Genomic DNA, 16,133 nt, shown 5'->3' with positions numbered 1-16,133 from the left:
CCTTTTCCAGACTTGAAAACTTGATCATGCTGGCTGCAATGGAGGCTTCGATTTTTTGTTTAGTGTAAAGGAAAATTACCCTATACAGCTTTTAACTCCCCGAGGCTATTCCTAAAAGCCTTGCTCAAACTTCTAAGGTGCCTGGACTAGTATTTGAGCTTAGAAAAGCTGTTGGCAAATCCCAGTGAAATTTTTTGACAGATTCATCTTTTAGCCTTTGGGAAAGTGAAGGTGCTGCAGGCAAGATATTTGATTAATGCCATGAAAAATAGTGTTGCTGGCACAGCTGGTATGTTGGGAGAAAAATTCATCACTAACTCTAAAACTGCCATGTAATTTTCTACCCACAGTTCTTTTCCTCACTTGACAGAAGATTTGCACAGGACAAACTCGGCTGACAGAGGACAAGTCAGCCAGATGTTGAGGTATCTCTAAACATGACAGATCACTATGTTTTAGCTCAGATTAATTCGCTTATTAGAGGTAGACCTAAATCACCAGTCATTGTCAAATCAGTTGTCACCACCTGCAAATCATGTCACATTTCTGAACAAAAATGTTGCGGTTTTAAAGAGTTGCTCTAACCTCAGCCCCTCTGCGCTGAGAGTGAGATTCCAACAAAAAGCACAGGATCACTCTCCTCACTAAGGCAAGCATTTTAAAATGTTCAGTTCTATCCCAGCCGCAACTCAACCACTTGCTTTCTGTGAGGTCAGGAAGAACAGGGAAAGTATGATTTCAGAGTCTGACAGCTGCCGAGACGGGCACTGGTCTGGATTTGTGTGATCTCACCTTCTCCTCTTCCCCTCCCGCCTTGGCATTTCCATAGAGCGACACAGGGTGTTCCCATGCTCCTGACCTCAGCAAGTGGCCAAAGGTAAACACAAATTCATTCACCAATAAAGAAAATGTCAAGAACATCTTTCAGAACAGAGCAACTAGTGTAACTCTGTTCCATAAGTTCATACGAAGCACATCACATCTTCGTCTGTGAGGGCTTGGTGGCCTCGACAGAATGCATCGACTCTTTCTAGCTCAACTCCCAACAGACCCGTTGTCCAGCTTACGAAGTCAGGACCACACTAGCCCCAGAGTTGGCAGGCTTAAGAAAAGTGTCAAGGAGTAAATAAGCCATGGAAAATAGCTAATATCTTCATCCCAGGAGGTTGAGTCAAGGGCTGGGAAACACTGGCAAAAAGAGCAGTGGAAAAATTGACACCAGCTATGCTTGCACTATGGCTGCCTTGTAAAGGGCAAATGGACTTTCTATTGGGCTCATCAGGAACTGGTGCTCCTGAGAGCAATGTTCTCATTAAAAGTGCAAGAAGCCAAAGAACGTACTGCCATAAATAGGGCAACATTTTTGCCTCGGGTATTTTTCTTTTTCTTTTAAAGACCATAATCTAGTAAATCAAACTAGGTTGATATGTAGGGCAGACACTGACTCTCTGGAAAGGAATATATGGCTACGGGGATTCTCAGCATGCACTCTTAGTTCTCATTTAGTTTGTTCAAGATCTAAACGTGTACTAGGTCCCCATTTAATAAACAAGTTGATTTATGCTACTTTTTAGCATTACTCAAATTATTATAGCAAAGGGGCACATGAAATGGAAAGATCTGTAACAAACTGATAAGTCAGGACTACAGTGGAAATAATCTTTCTGCTCATATTTCTGTTCATGGTACTCCTATTTTCTGAGTCACAGTCACCAGGATTGACACACTGAAGTGACCTTCTAGTTCTCTTTTTCTCTTTCTCTTTTCTCTCAATATTGAATCAGTACCCAAGTCCTCGCTTACTCCTTCTTAATGCCTTTCCAAGCCCACTGCCCTTGCTCCGGTTCTGCCCTTCCACCTCTGCAGTCGCTGCTGTCACAGCTCCTTGATCTTTCTGCCTCTTGTCTCACTTCTATAATCCATCCTCTGCACTGCAGCCAAATTGAACTTGGTACTTAGTTTATGCCTTTCCCTGCCTTAAAAACATGCAGTGACTTCCTGTTGCCTACCAGGTAAAGTTTCAACTCTTTAGCTTATACTGACAGTTCTCTCAAGTCAGTTCCAGATATACACTGCCTACTGCCCCACTCAAACCTAATCCGCGGGCCATGGTGGATTACTTATTGCCCTAAGTGCTGCCCTTTGCCATCTTTGTACCGATGCCACCTCATGCTCCTGTCACCTAGAATGGCCTTTGCTTCAGCTCTACTTACAGAACTCCTACCTGTTTTTCAAGGCCCAGTCACAGTGCAGCCTCTTCCATGAATTCATCTTTGCACATCCATCTCTCTCAACTTTCATGGCTCCTTTTTTCCTACAATTCTTACATTGCTTCTTACATTCTGCTTTGCACTATAAATTTTGGTATAGTGCTAAGCAGTCAATTCTTCAGGAATTTGGGTATAACTTTTAAGTAAACAGGTATTCAGAATATATTTTGAATAATTAAATTTGGAAAAGGTTCAATTACTTTAAATAATCTAGGTTTGAAAAGCCTCTGTTCCTTCAAATTTGGGGTTTGGGGGCTGAAGAACTAGATAATGGCTTAAGTCCTTTATTTCTAGTTTGTTCTGACCTTTAAATAGTCAACAAATTGATAACACTGCTCTAAACTGCTGTGGTATATGACCCCCAGGACTGTTTAAGCTGCTTATGCTAGCTAAGAATATGGTTTTTGAACGAGGCTGATTTCCTGTTTAAAACACCAGTGTGGCTGCAAGGCCCACAGGGACTGGACCCCTCATCCTGCCACCCTCACCTCTCCAGGGCTGTGCTCTTTCTTCTCTCCATGTCACCACTAAGGTAGCAAGAAGAAATTTAGGGCAGTACTGAGGATGCTCATCTCTCTCCACCAATATTCTACACAAATATAGTTCTCAAATTATTAATATGTTCAAAATTATTTGCAGAAAGCTCTGGGTAGCTTTGTCATGCCTGTTTGGCAATTAATTACTCCTACAACTATTTTGGGGCCTCTATGAGATATCAAGAAAGATAACTTAATAAGCACCCTAACTCAGAGATGCTTAACAACTACCCTTCAATCAAATCAAGAATAACTTCCACTGGTTGAAGAAACTCCCAGTAACATGCATGAAGTGACTGTAAAATATTTTTTACCCAGATCTGTATTCAGTGATAAGTCCTTATTTATAAACTTTGGTTTTACCAGCTTTTTAAGAAAGAGCTTGCATAATTCAGTTTCGTGATGGATCTCATGAAAACTTCCCAAGTCAGGAGACAAAGCCTACTAGGTGATGACTATTATGGGGGACATGGTGAGTTTCCGGCCTAAAGGAATTTGGAATCTGACAGGTTGAGATAGTAAGAGAAGCACACAGGTAATTACCCTATAAGAGGGGGGAGAAGGAAAATGCCAACATGAAAATATAAACAAAGCAGTACTGAGCTTCATAAGAGAGACTTGTGAGCCTTGAGGTCAAAGAAGGATCTTAAAGTAGATACATTTAATTGGAAGTTGTAGATTGGATAGATTTTGACAAAGAGGTAAATTGAGAGTTCTGCCTCAGGGGGTTAGGAAACGCTTCAGGGAGGAGGGTGCGAAGGATGAGCAGTGTGGCCTGATGGCTAAAAGGGAGAAGGCTGGTGCAGTGGAAGCCACTGAGGCAGGGACATTCATTCCCCTGAACACCGAAGGATGGGGCTGGAGCACCAGGAGACCATGCTGAAATAGGAGCAGAATGTAGCACCAATGAAGAGAAGAGAGGGGAAGCCTCAAGCTGTGGTTAGGAGGTTGCAAATTGTCCAGTGTGAGAAGGGCACAGAGAACACATGATGGAAATCCTGGAATATTAGGCTGGAAGGGTCAATTCAGAGAGGGGAAGGGAAGCTGAACAGACTGCTTTCTTAGGACCTCAACCTTCTCAGCAATATAGGAAGGGGAAGGCTCACCTTCTGATCTCAGCACATTCTTGGTCACAAGTCCTCAAAGGATCTGTTTCCTCTGGAGTCAGTTCCAGTTCCATAGATTCTAAATGGCCTCAGGGTAACTCCTCTTCTGAAAGGCAGGGTTTGTAGGGCCAGGAGCAGGTGCCCTCCAGTTGGCCCATTTGATGAGCTGTGTGAATTTGGGCTACTCAATCTCTCTGTCTTTTATATTATCCATATTTGAATCCCCACTGATTTGAACATAGTAATCACTCATTGAAATACATGTTGAATTAAATTTTCAGTTACCTTACATTACTACCTGATCTCTATCAGGAATTATAAAACATGAAACACATAAAAACAGCAAGCTATAAGAAACTTGCTTTTTTCTTTTTCTTTTTTTGGTTGATGGAATTTTTCTACCCCTTTTATGCAATTAAAGTGAAAACGAAAAACAATTTAAAAAGTTAAGAAACCCCGGTACTTTCTCTAGTGATTCCACTTTATTAAAAATTATGAGAGAAAGAAGCCTCAGATTTCCCATCCTAGGATACACATGTTTCTATGGGATAAACAGAATTTTGAAGTCTCCAAATCACCAGTTTACGGGAGGGAGGTCAGCTAGTCTTAGGAGATATATGTTCTAACTTTGAGATGCTTTTTCACAAATGTAAAGTTTGCTCTTTACAATTAAGAACATCTTTAAAATACCACACTTTAAAAGTCCTCCAGCACCCCTCACTCTGAACCTACAAAAGGCATACAAAGATCTTTAAAAGCAAGTATACAGAGTTTATTTTTCAGCAATAATATCTTTTAAAGCCAGAGGAACTAAACTCCTTCCAAGGGAGAATTTGATTAATTTTAAAAAGTGACATAAATGCTTTGTAACTTTGCCACAGAACATCTGCTTGGACGTCGATGTGACTGGAGAGGTGAACACAGTGTCTGTGCCTGTGGAGGGTAGAAAAGACAACAGGTTTCAGGGCGTGGGGAAGCAGAATGTGGGCGATGATAAAGAAGGGGCTCAGCTGGATGTGTTGAAACACTTTGAGCGCAAATGTGAATGGAAAGAGAGAGATCAGCTGAACAGTGGGGCATCACTGTTCTCCAGATTCAACAAGAGCTGTTTTTTCCCTCTTTTCATTCTCCCCGGCAGGGGCCTTCTGACCAATTTCTACTGTTTCTCCCTGCCAGCCTCCTAGATTTCCAGAGCTAGCAGACCCCTCAGAAGAGAGGAGCAGCACACTAGTGGACAGTGGCTATGGCTGCAGGTACCCCAAGGCCCCACCTGTCACCTGGGGCAGATCCCAGTAGCCCTGCCCAGAGGCCTCTGGCCACTCAGCATCTGCAGGGCCAGGCTGCCCAGTTTCCCGTCTCTGCTGGAGTGATAGAATTTATTCAAGTATTCACTAGTTCAAATTTAATTTTTTAAAAGTATGATTTCATTTATTTTTAATCTATTTCCTCTCCCTTGAAGCTTTTTAAAATAGATTATATTAAGGAAAATGATGAGTTAAATACATTTTCACAAAAAAGTAAGATAATCATCTCATTTATCATTTTAAAACAGCAATACAATGTGGCCAATTTTACTTGAACACTAAAAAACATTGATGATGAAGCAATTTTTACAGGCAAAAAATTAGCCTTCTTTGTTTTGAACAGAGAAATTTATTTTCACAACTACTTCTAGTTCACGCAAATAACTGGAAAATATGTATTCAAGGAAAATGAGTCATGCTGTGAGTGAATAACTGGTATCTCCTTGAGGCAGTAGTGTTAGAGTTAGCATTCCCGAGGGCATTATAAGCTCTGGAGGTAAGACTCCCCTTTCATTTTATATTTAGCTCCCCCGGTCTAAGACTGCCCCTAACTGCCCCTCAAAAGTAGGCATCTCATCTCACCTCTTCCTCTACGTTTTCTCTTCTCATGAAACATCCAAGATTCAGATGTTGTCATCCAAGATTCAGATGTTTGTGTTTAATGACAACAAACAAAAGCAAAACTCACAACCACAGAATGGTCTGTTTGGCTCATAGTGTTCCTAATACCAGATAACAACCACCCTACTTTTAATAGTACTTGCTCTATGCTGCCATTGGTAGTTTACAAAACCTATTAACATGTGCTATTTCATAAAGATTTAATTTTTTACAATAATCCTGGTGCTGTGTGGCAGCCATAGCTCTGTATTCTTAGGGAGGTCTATCGGCTTCTTTTGACTCTTAGGATACCACTTACTCAAACACATTAACGATGTAGGAAGGAAAGAGTCCAGTGTATGAAGATGGCACAATGCAGCAGTTATGAACTGAACGTTAGGAGACATGCATGCTTTTTCCATGTAAAACGTTTCTTGCATACATCTCACTCTGTTTCAAGAGCACAGTGGATGAAGAGAAAAACAGCGATAGTCAACTGGAAAACAATTATAAGCTGCTCCTGTGTTCTGTTGCCTTAAATTCTCGGGCAAAGTTTTTAGAACAACCCTGATCCAAACTGTTCATTAAAATTCAGTATTGTTTTCAACCTCTCCTAGCTCCTTGCTAATTTATGACCCAATATTTGGAGAAAATGTTATTCAGCTTCAGAGTCACTAACCCCAGTAATCAAATGAAGTTAAGTTTGATACTGGGATTAGGATAGAAACAAACCAAGATTTGGAAAGCTACTGAAATAGGAAATAAAATTTCTTTGAAGCTACATTGCTATTTTGATCCTTATTTCATGGATCACATGTAATCAACATGAACAACCAAGAGTTTCATTTTTTAAAATTTTTAAAAATACTGGTGAGAGAATTGTAAATTACTGAAAAACAAGATCATAAAGAGATTTTGTTTTTTTGTCATACAAGAGCATTTCTAACTGTAGGTCTTGGTGAAAAAGAACAACACTTTTCACAAAATTGTGAAAAAAAAGGAGAGGGAAAAACTTTATTTTGTAAGCTTGTGCAGGGTAGTTTGCCAGTGAAACTTTGCACAATGAGGAGATGATGGAGAGGCGTATCATGAAAATCATCTTCCAGGCCAGGCAAATGAAATTATCTCCTGATTCTATACTCAAAAGAGAGGCATAGTTGACTTTCTGCCCAGACATATGCTATCCTGGGAAGACAAACCTTGGGACTGGCAGACAAAAGTAATTAAGGATATATTTTTCCTTTTTATTAATGAATTTATATTCTTTAAACTCATTTCTTCCTCTTTTGGGTTCCCAGACTTATTTCCAACACTGGTTTGGGAGGAACTACTATGACCTGTCACTAAAATTGGAAATGTAAAGCAAGTGGCTGTCACTAAGTTAGTGATAGTCAGAAAATGACTTAAAAGATTAGACAACAACCCTCCTATTGAACTGAGATCTCTGTTAACTTTCTCTTTAGGTAACACTACATTTGGTTAAAAAGATAAAGACTTAAATAAACAAATGAACAATTTAAAACCCCAGCTTCGAACAATGTCCCCCACAGCTGGCATTAGGACATCTGGGGGATGATGCTTGCGAACTCCTGATTGGAGTCAGACAGAGTCAGAGACTCGGCGCTGCAGAATGGGAGGAACAGTGTGTAATGAGGCATCAGTGCCCAGTGAAGAAAGGGGAAAGATGAAAAAGAATAAGAATTAGCCCCTGGTGCTGCGGAACACAGGAGACCCACAAAGGCTAATTTCAAATGGCTGGAGCTCTTACATCTTAGGGATGAACTTGCTTCTTGATGCACTTATAACTCCCATTAATGTTAATGTTGCCAAGCCCACCGAGAAGAGAATATAGCCCCCTTAGTTTGCTTTCATCAGTTCACGTCCTTTTTTTTTTGAGTGGGGAACAAAAATCTGGTTACCTTTATGAATTAAGACAGGAACCTATGATAATGTACAAATACATTTGGGTTGAAAAGGAAAAAGGGAATAACCCATGAGCCACAAAATCTTTTCCAAAGTCCATAGAGGAGACAGCAGCTCATGAAAAGCAGCAGCAAGCATCCTTCAAGTCTATCCAATGGTCTCTCATACGATGAATTCAGAACACCAACAACATTTTTGTATTTGGTGCCATTCATGCAACACCCCTCCGCAAAAACATTCATGCCTGAAAACTGTTAGCAACTGTTTGTCTAGTAAATGTGGTCAATACCATTAGCATTTTTTATAAAGAGGAAAATTCGGACAGAAAAAGCACATTTTTTTTTTCTTTAAATAATCACAATAATTTAACGAGAGAATGAGGAGGATTAGTTTGCAGGCAGGGAAAGTTCAGTGCCGAAATGAAACTGAACAGATGTAATCTTGCAGCAAGTGGATACAGCAAAGATGAACAACATTTAAAAAATATTCCCACTGTAGTCTCAGAAGAGACTAGATTAATCCAGGGTAGACCCTGTAGGATGCTGTGGGTGTGGACCTTGAGAACTTTTTCTTTAGTTTCATATGCACCGTATGTCTGGGTGATTCCATTTGAGGTTATTTGTGACTGGATGACTTGAATATAGCATGCACTGGAAATCACCAAGGGGAAGGAACATTTGTAGCAGAATCATCATCCTTTCAATAGGCTTCTAAGCTGAATTCTCAATGACTGGTCTCACTAAAGCTAACGGATACTAGGCATAATAACTGGGTGATGAAATAATCTGTCCAACAAACCCTCATGACATGAATTTACCTATTTAATAAACCTGCACGTGTAGCCCTAAACTTAAAAAAAAAGCTTACCGTGAACATAGGTGGAAACTGGGTCCCACTACATTGGTCTGCAACATGAATTGTGCTGTAGTTCTGAATTGAGAAGGACATTTTCCAGTGATAGCTCTCACTCTTAAGCCTGAACTCTTCATTCTAGAGTTAGAAGCTATCCATCTTTTATTCACTGTATTATTTATAATAAGAACTGAAAGCAAGAGAGATAAATAACCACGTTTGAGCATATCTAGTCTGCATTTCAGAAACATCCTCACATCTGCATACTCTATAAAACTGTGATCCTAACTCACTTTTTCAATACTTTAAAAGTAGATATTGCCTAATACTAAAATCAATGTATGCACACACATATTGCTTTCATAAAATAATGCAAAGATCTGCCTAAATGAAAGGGACTGGAAAGCAACATAAGACTAGATAGTAGGCTACAGTCAAATGTCCGTTATGTAAAGTGAACCTAATAGGTTTTCTAAAGAATGTTCAAAATAGCTTATTCTATGTCATTGGGAATGTTATCTAAAATGTTCAATTTTTCTAAATGTCCTCAGATTTTTCTAAGTCAACAGAGTTAACCATTAAATGCTCTGATATGGTTTGGCTGTGTCCCCACCCAAATCTCATCTTGAATTGTAGTTCCTCATCATCCTCACGTGTGGTGGGAGGGACCCAGTGGGAGGTAACTGAATCATGGGGGCAGCTTCCCCCACGCTATTCCCATGATAGTGAGTTCTCAAGCAGTCTGATGGTTTTATAAGGGGCTTCCTTCTTTGGTGGGCTTTCACTCTTCTTGCAGCTGCCACGTGAAGGACGTGTTTGCTTCCCCTTCCGCCATGATTCTGAGTTTCCTGGGGCCTCCCCAGCCATGCTGAACTGTGAGTCACTTGAACCTCTTTCCTTTATAAATTACCAGTCTCAGGTATGTCTTTATTAGCAGCATGAGAACGGACTAATACATGTTCCTAACAATCCTATTAGAGGTACAACTGACAAAGAATAAGCTGCATATATTTAAAGTATCTACCTTGACAGGTTTTGACATATTAATGCACCCGTGAAGCCTCTATACAATCACAAACAATGAACAAAAGTCTCCCTCAACATTTCCTCATGCCTTTTTCTAAGACCGCATCTCTCTCTCCATCACCCACTGCCATCCCCAGACAACTACTGAATCTATTTTTTGTCACTACATATTAACTTGCATTTCCTAGAATTTTATATATATGGAATCACTCTTTTTTTTTTTTTGGTTTGGCTTAATTCACCAAGAATAATTGTTTTGAGATTCATTTATGTTGTAATGTGTATCACAAGTTTATTCCTTTCTATTGCTGAGTAGTAGTATCCTATTTTGTGTACATACCACATTCACCTAGTAATGGACGTCTGGAATGTTTCCAGTTTTTGACTATTACAAACAAAGCTACTGTGAACATTCATTGGCAAATTTTTGTGTAGACATATGCTTTCATTTCTCTTAAATACCTAGGAGTGGAACAGCTAGGTCATATAGTATGCATATGCTTAACTTTTAAGAAAATTGCTAAACTATTTTTCTCAACAATGTATGAGCATTCTAGTTCTACCACATCCTGGGCAACACTGAGCCATTCTAATAGGTACACAGTGGAATATCACTGTAGTTTTAATCTGCATTTCCCTAATGACTAATGATGTTGAATATCATTTATGTGCTTTATTGCTTACTGTATATCTTTGTTGGTGAAATGGTTATTCAAATATTTTGCCCATTAAATTTTTTTTTATTACTGAGTTTTGAGAGTTCTTTGTGTATTGAGGATAAAGTCTTTTGTCAGATATATGATTTACAAATGTTTCCTTCCTGTCTGTGGCTTGTCTTTTCACTTACAGACTGTTGAACAGTAGAAGTTTTAAACTTCAATGTGGTCCAATTCATCACTTCTTTCTTTTAAGTATAATGCTTTTAGCGTCATAATTAGGACATCTTTATCTAACCGAAGGTCACAAAAGTTTTCTCACGTTTTCTTCTAGAAGCTTTATAGTTTTAGGTTTTACAGTTAGGTCTATGATCCTCTTTGAGTTAATTTTTTTATATGGTGAATGGTATGGATCAAAGGGTTTTTTTCTGCATATGAATGAATATCCCATTGTTCCAGCACAACTTGTTGAAAAGACTATTTTTATTCTCCACTGAACTATCTTTGCATCTTTGTTGAAAGTCAGCTGCCTCATATACACCATGGAATACTATGCAGCCATAAAAAATGATGAGTTCATGTCCTTTGTAGGGACATGGATGAAATTGGAAATCATCATTCTCAGTAAACTATCGCAAGAACAAAAAACCAAACACTGCATATTCTCACTCACAGGTGGGAATTGAACAATGAGAACACATGGACACAGGAAGGGGAACATCACACTCTGGGGAATGTTGTGGGGTGGGGGGAGGGGGGGAGGGATAGCTTTAGGAGATATACCTAATGCTAAATGACGAGTTAATGGGTGCAGCACACCAGCATGGCACATGTATACGTATGTAACAAACCTGCACATTGGCACATGTACCCTAAAACTTAAATAATAATAATAATAATAATAAAAGAAAGTCAGCTGCCTATAAATGTGTGGGTCTGCTCCTTTGATATACTTGTCAAATATTATGCCAATATCACGCTGTCTTGATTACTGTGGATTTTTAATAATTATTGAAATTAGATAGTGTCAGTCCTCAAACTTTGTTTTTCCTTTTCTAAATTGTTTTGGCTATGCTAGGTACTTGCATACCCCTGTGAATTTTAGAATCAGTTTGTCATTTTGTATAAAAAAGTCTACTAGAATTTTGATTGGAATTGTATTGAATCTATAGATCAATGTTAGGGAGACATAGCATCTTTATATTACTGAGTCTTCTGACCTACAAAAATGGTATCTATCTCTCCATTTATTTAGGCCTTCAACAATGTTCTATAGTTTTTAATGTACATGTCTTTCACATATTTTGTCAGATTTGTCCTTAAGTGTTGAAGTACTTAAGAATGCTGTTGTCAATGCTACTGACTTATTCTTTTCAACTTGTGATTGCTACATATGTAAAAATATACTTGATTTTTGTATATTGATCTTGTATCCTGCAATTTTGCTAAATTCATTTATTAGTTCTAGTAGTCTTTTGTGGATTCAACCAGATCTAGTAGTCTTTTATGGATTCAATCAGATTTTCTAGGTAGATGATCATATTTTAAGTAAATAAAAGGTTTGTGTTTTTTTTTTTTTTTTTAATTTGAATGCCTTTTATCTCTTCTCCTTGCTTTATTGCACTGGCTAGAAGTTCTAGGCAATGTCACATTAAAGCGGCAAGAGCAAACATCCCTTTCTTTTTTTAAAATACTGATGGCGGAAGGGCATTCCGTTTTTCACCACTGAGTATGATGTCAGTTATAGGGTTTTTTGTAGATGTCCTTTATCAACTTGAGGAAGTTCTATTTTATTCCTACTTAGCTGAAAGTTTTTATTGGACTTCTCAAAGAACAAGTTTCTTTTTTATTTCATTGCTTTTCTCTATTGGTTTCTATTTCATTGATTTCTACTTTAATCTTAATTATTTCTATTCCTCTACTCATTTTAGATTTAATTTCTTGTTCTTTTTCTAGCTTCTTTAGATGCTAATTTCTTATTTTCAAACATAGGCATTTAGTGCTGTAAATTTCCCCCAACTACTTCTTTAGTGATATGCTGCAAATTCTGATACGTTTTACATTCATTTTTATTTCATTCATAATACATTTTAATTTCCCTTTTTATATGTTTGAGCCATGAGTAATTTTGGATTGTGTTATTTAGCTTCCACATATTTGAAGCTTTTCTAGAATGATTTTCTGTTATGATTTCTAGTTTAACTCCTCTGTAGTCAGAGAACATATTTTGTATGACTTAAACCTTTTAAAATTCATTAAGATGTACTTTATGGCTCAGAATAAGGTGTATTTTGGTAAATGTTTTATGTGCACTTGAGAAGAATGTGTACTCTGCTGTTAGGTGGAGATTTTTTGTTTTTGTTTTTAATAAATGTCAAGCTGGTAGATAGTGCTATTTAAAGATTCTATATCTTTACTGACTTTCTGTCTATGAGAAAGGGGTATCAGAATATCCAACTATAATTGTGAATTTTTTTTATTCCTCCTTGCATTTTAGCAGTACTGCTTTATACTCGGGTGTCCTTTTATGAAATAGTTCCTTTTTATTATGAAATGAACTTCTTTATCCATAGTTATATTCTTTGATCTGAAATCTACTTTGTTTCCTATTAACATAGCTACTCTTTCTATTAGTGCTAACACAGTACAGTTTTTTTCATATATTTACTTTAAACCTATTTTGTCTTCATATTAATACTTGAAATATGTCTTGTAGGCCACATATTGGGTCTTGCTTGCTTATATAATCTGACAATCTCTGCTTTTTAAGTTGAGTTTCAATTTAGGTTACTTACAATTAATATAATTATTTATACGATCAGGTTTAAATCTATCATCTTGCCATGTGTTTTCTATTGGTTACTTCTCTTTTTCTGCCTTCTTTCAGATTAACTGAGCATTCCTCAATGTCACTATTTTATCTCCCTTGTTGCTTTATTAGCTATAACTCTTTGTTTTTTTTTTAGTTGTTTTAGGGCTCATATTATAAATCTTTAACTTATCACAGTCTGCCTTCAAGTGATAGCATACCGGTTCTCATAAAAGAGCCCTACAAGAGCATACTTCTTTTTTCCCCTCCTGAACTTGGTGCTAGTTTCATCATGCATTTTACTTTTATATAAGCTGCAAATCCCACACTGTGTTCCCATTAATTTTGTTCAGACTATTATCTTTTAAAGAGATTTAAGCAGTAAGAAAAATTTCAATATATTCACTCCCGTTGCTGTTTCTGACAGTCTTCATTCTTTTGTGAATATTTACATCCAGTATCATGTCATTTGGCATAGAATTCTAGGTTAAGAATGTTTTTCTTTCAGTGTTTTCAATATATTTCCCAACTTCCTATGAGAAATCTGCTATCATCCTTCTCATTGTTCTGCATCTAAGGTGTCCTTTTTCCCTCTTGCTGCTCTTTCTCTTTATTACTGATTGTGAGCAACTTAATTATAATATGTGTGGTTTTCTTCCTGTTTTTGTGCTTGGGGCTCACTGAGCTTCTTGAATTTATAGGTTTGTAGTTCTAATCCAATTTGGAAAAATGTTCAGTCCTTATTTCCTCAAATATTTTTTGCATTCTCCCATCTCCTTTAGGGACTTACACGGATATTAGGCTACTTGAAGTTGTCCCCCAGCTCACTGATGAGCTATTCATTTTTTAAGTTCACTTTTCCCTCTGTATTTCATTTTGCATAGTTTCTACTGGTATGTTTTTAGGTCACTAATATCTTCTTCTGCAATGTCTAATTCACTGTTAATCCCATGCACATTGCAGTTTTTATCTGTAGAAGTTAGGATTTGAGTCTCTTCCACATGTTTCATGTCTCCATTGAACTTTTTGAACATGTGGAATGTAGTAATAATAACAAGTTTGACTTCCCTACCTCCTAATTCTAATATGTCACTTCTTAGTAAGTTTTGAGTAATTAACATATCTCTTCATTGTAGCCTATATATTCCTGCTCCTTTCCACATCTGGTACGTATGATTGGAAGTGACATTGTGAATTTTACATTGTTGGATCATGGGTATTCTGTTCCTGAAATATCACTGAGATTTGTTGTGGGATGCAGTCAAGTTACCTGGAGGTATTTTGATCCTTTTGGGTCCCACCCTACAGATTTGTAAGGTGGGACTGAAACAGCGCTCAGACCAGGGCTAATTATTCCCCACTACTGAATCAAGGCCTGCTGAATAAGTGGCATCTATTATCTACTGTCAGGATAAGTCTGAATATTTTTGTCCACTGTAACTTAGTATTTATCTGAGTCACCAAATGAAACAAAACAAAAACAAACCACCACCACCACCAACAAACCCATAATGCCATTAAGCACTGGATGAAAAAAAAACTTTACTCACATATAGAAGAGGCAGAGCAAGGTCAGCTTCAACAGTGGGTGTGGGCCCTTCTGCTGCAGCGCAAGAGGTGAGTGCGTGCAGGATGCCTGCTGGGAGAGACCCACCCACCATGAGGGACTGAGTAAAGTATCGTTCCTAGTGCTTGAATGTGCTGTGTTTTCCTTGGCAACTCTGATAGCAAGATGCAGTGCACAGAAGCACTCAGACTTCTACTCCTGATAACAGGCAACAGAAGCCACTTGCTCGACAAGACCCTTTTGTATACCCTACCCAATGCCCTGCGAGTCTTAATGGTTTCCAGTCTGGCTAATGGAAACAGGCACTGTTTTCAGGTCTATTTGAGTGCTGGGCACTATACCTTTCATCCTTTCAGATGGCTCTTCCCCCAGCCTTGCCTGCTTTTTTCACACTCATGCACTGATTAGTGCTCGGCTGAATACTTAGGGGCAACCCTCTGCAAATTTCTAGAATTTTCACTCTGTGGAGCTCTCATCTCTGCCCCTTGAATTCTAGCTAATCGAGGTCTCCCCACACTCTCGGTTCTGTTTTCTCAACTCAGGGGGTCCTCCAGGCTCTGTCAGGAACCTGCTCCCTGTGAGCTGGAAAAGTTGTAGGACTCACTTTTGTTTCCTGTCTTTCTGGGATCACTGTCCTTCATTACCAGATCTCTAGTAGCTTGGAAATCAGTTTTTAAATAATATCTTCTGTCTCTTTTCTAATTTTTCAGGTGGGAAGGCAAATCCAAACCCTATTACTCTTGGTTAGAGGAAGAAGTCCTCATGCTTACTCCAAATCAGATCGGATCAAACTTTCATTTAAGAGGATATTTACCGCTAAAAGACATTGATAATGATGAAAATATGAATATTTTTTAAATAAAGTATTAAGTCTAAGTTACTTTCCAGAAATAGTTGTAGTATTTGAGCACGCACATTCAGCTAGTCCCAGAGAAGATGCCTTTGGTTTAGTTCCCAAGATTATACCTGTATCTGCCTTAAGTCACTTAACCAATGTGATGACTGTCATTAAGAGCTCTGGATGTCTTAATTTTCTCACTCAAATTTGTGAGATCAAATTAAATGAGATCCCTATCTCCAAGCTGGTTTTCCAGTTTAAATAATTCTAGGACTACCTATGTCCTCTTTTGGTTTTAAAGTTGAGGGAAGAAATGGTTTGCCAAAAATACATGACAATTCACCTTGCAAAGCTAAATTTTGAGCCATGAAAACGAACAGTGAATCAAGGGCTGTGTTCAGAATTGCATTCATCAAACTAAGGTTGGATTTGCCAACCTGGGGCACTGCCCAATTGTCATTTCCAAGAAAATGATGTGAGAAAATACTTTGAAGCGGGAAAATAATTATCCTCCCTCAACAACTTCAAAGGTAGTCCCAGAAAATGAAAATGAATCCATTTCTCCTGACTTCAGGACCATATTATCAACTGTGAACTTGTTTCACGACATAAATTCTGAATGGATAGTCTGTCTGTTTCTTGGAAC

At 38.1% G+C, this 16,133-nt stretch overlaps 1 protein-coding gene across 19 annotated transcripts in view, besides 1 other annotated feature; it reads right to left on the bottom strand.

Moving 5' to 3' along the window:
- Positions 1 to 16,133, bottom strand: part of NPAS3 (neuronal PAS domain protein 3) — an 869,389-nt gene that overhangs the window by 186,924 nt on the left and 666,332 nt on the right. The window lies entirely within an intron of this gene.
- Positions 4,696 to 5,206: an enhancer, noted in NCBI's record as "OCT4-NANOG hESC enhancer chr14:34081250-34081760 (GRCh37/hg19 assembly coordinates)". NCBI's record gives its function as "activates a minimal SCP1, AML or CMV promoter by ChIP-STARR-seq in naive H9 embryonic stem cells {active_cell/tissue: H9 hESC(naive)}" and the evidence as "EXISTENCE:reporter gene assay evidence [ECO:0000049][PMID:30033119]".

This window comes from Homo sapiens, chromosome 14 (assembly GCF_000001405.40).
Source record: "Homo sapiens chromosome 14, GRCh38.p14 Primary Assembly".
Taxonomy (NCBI): Eukaryota; Metazoa; Chordata; class Mammalia; order Primates; family Hominidae; genus Homo; species Homo sapiens.
The sequence above is the reverse complement of the archived record's forward strand: the minus strand, read 5'-3'. Positions and strand labels throughout refer to the sequence as shown.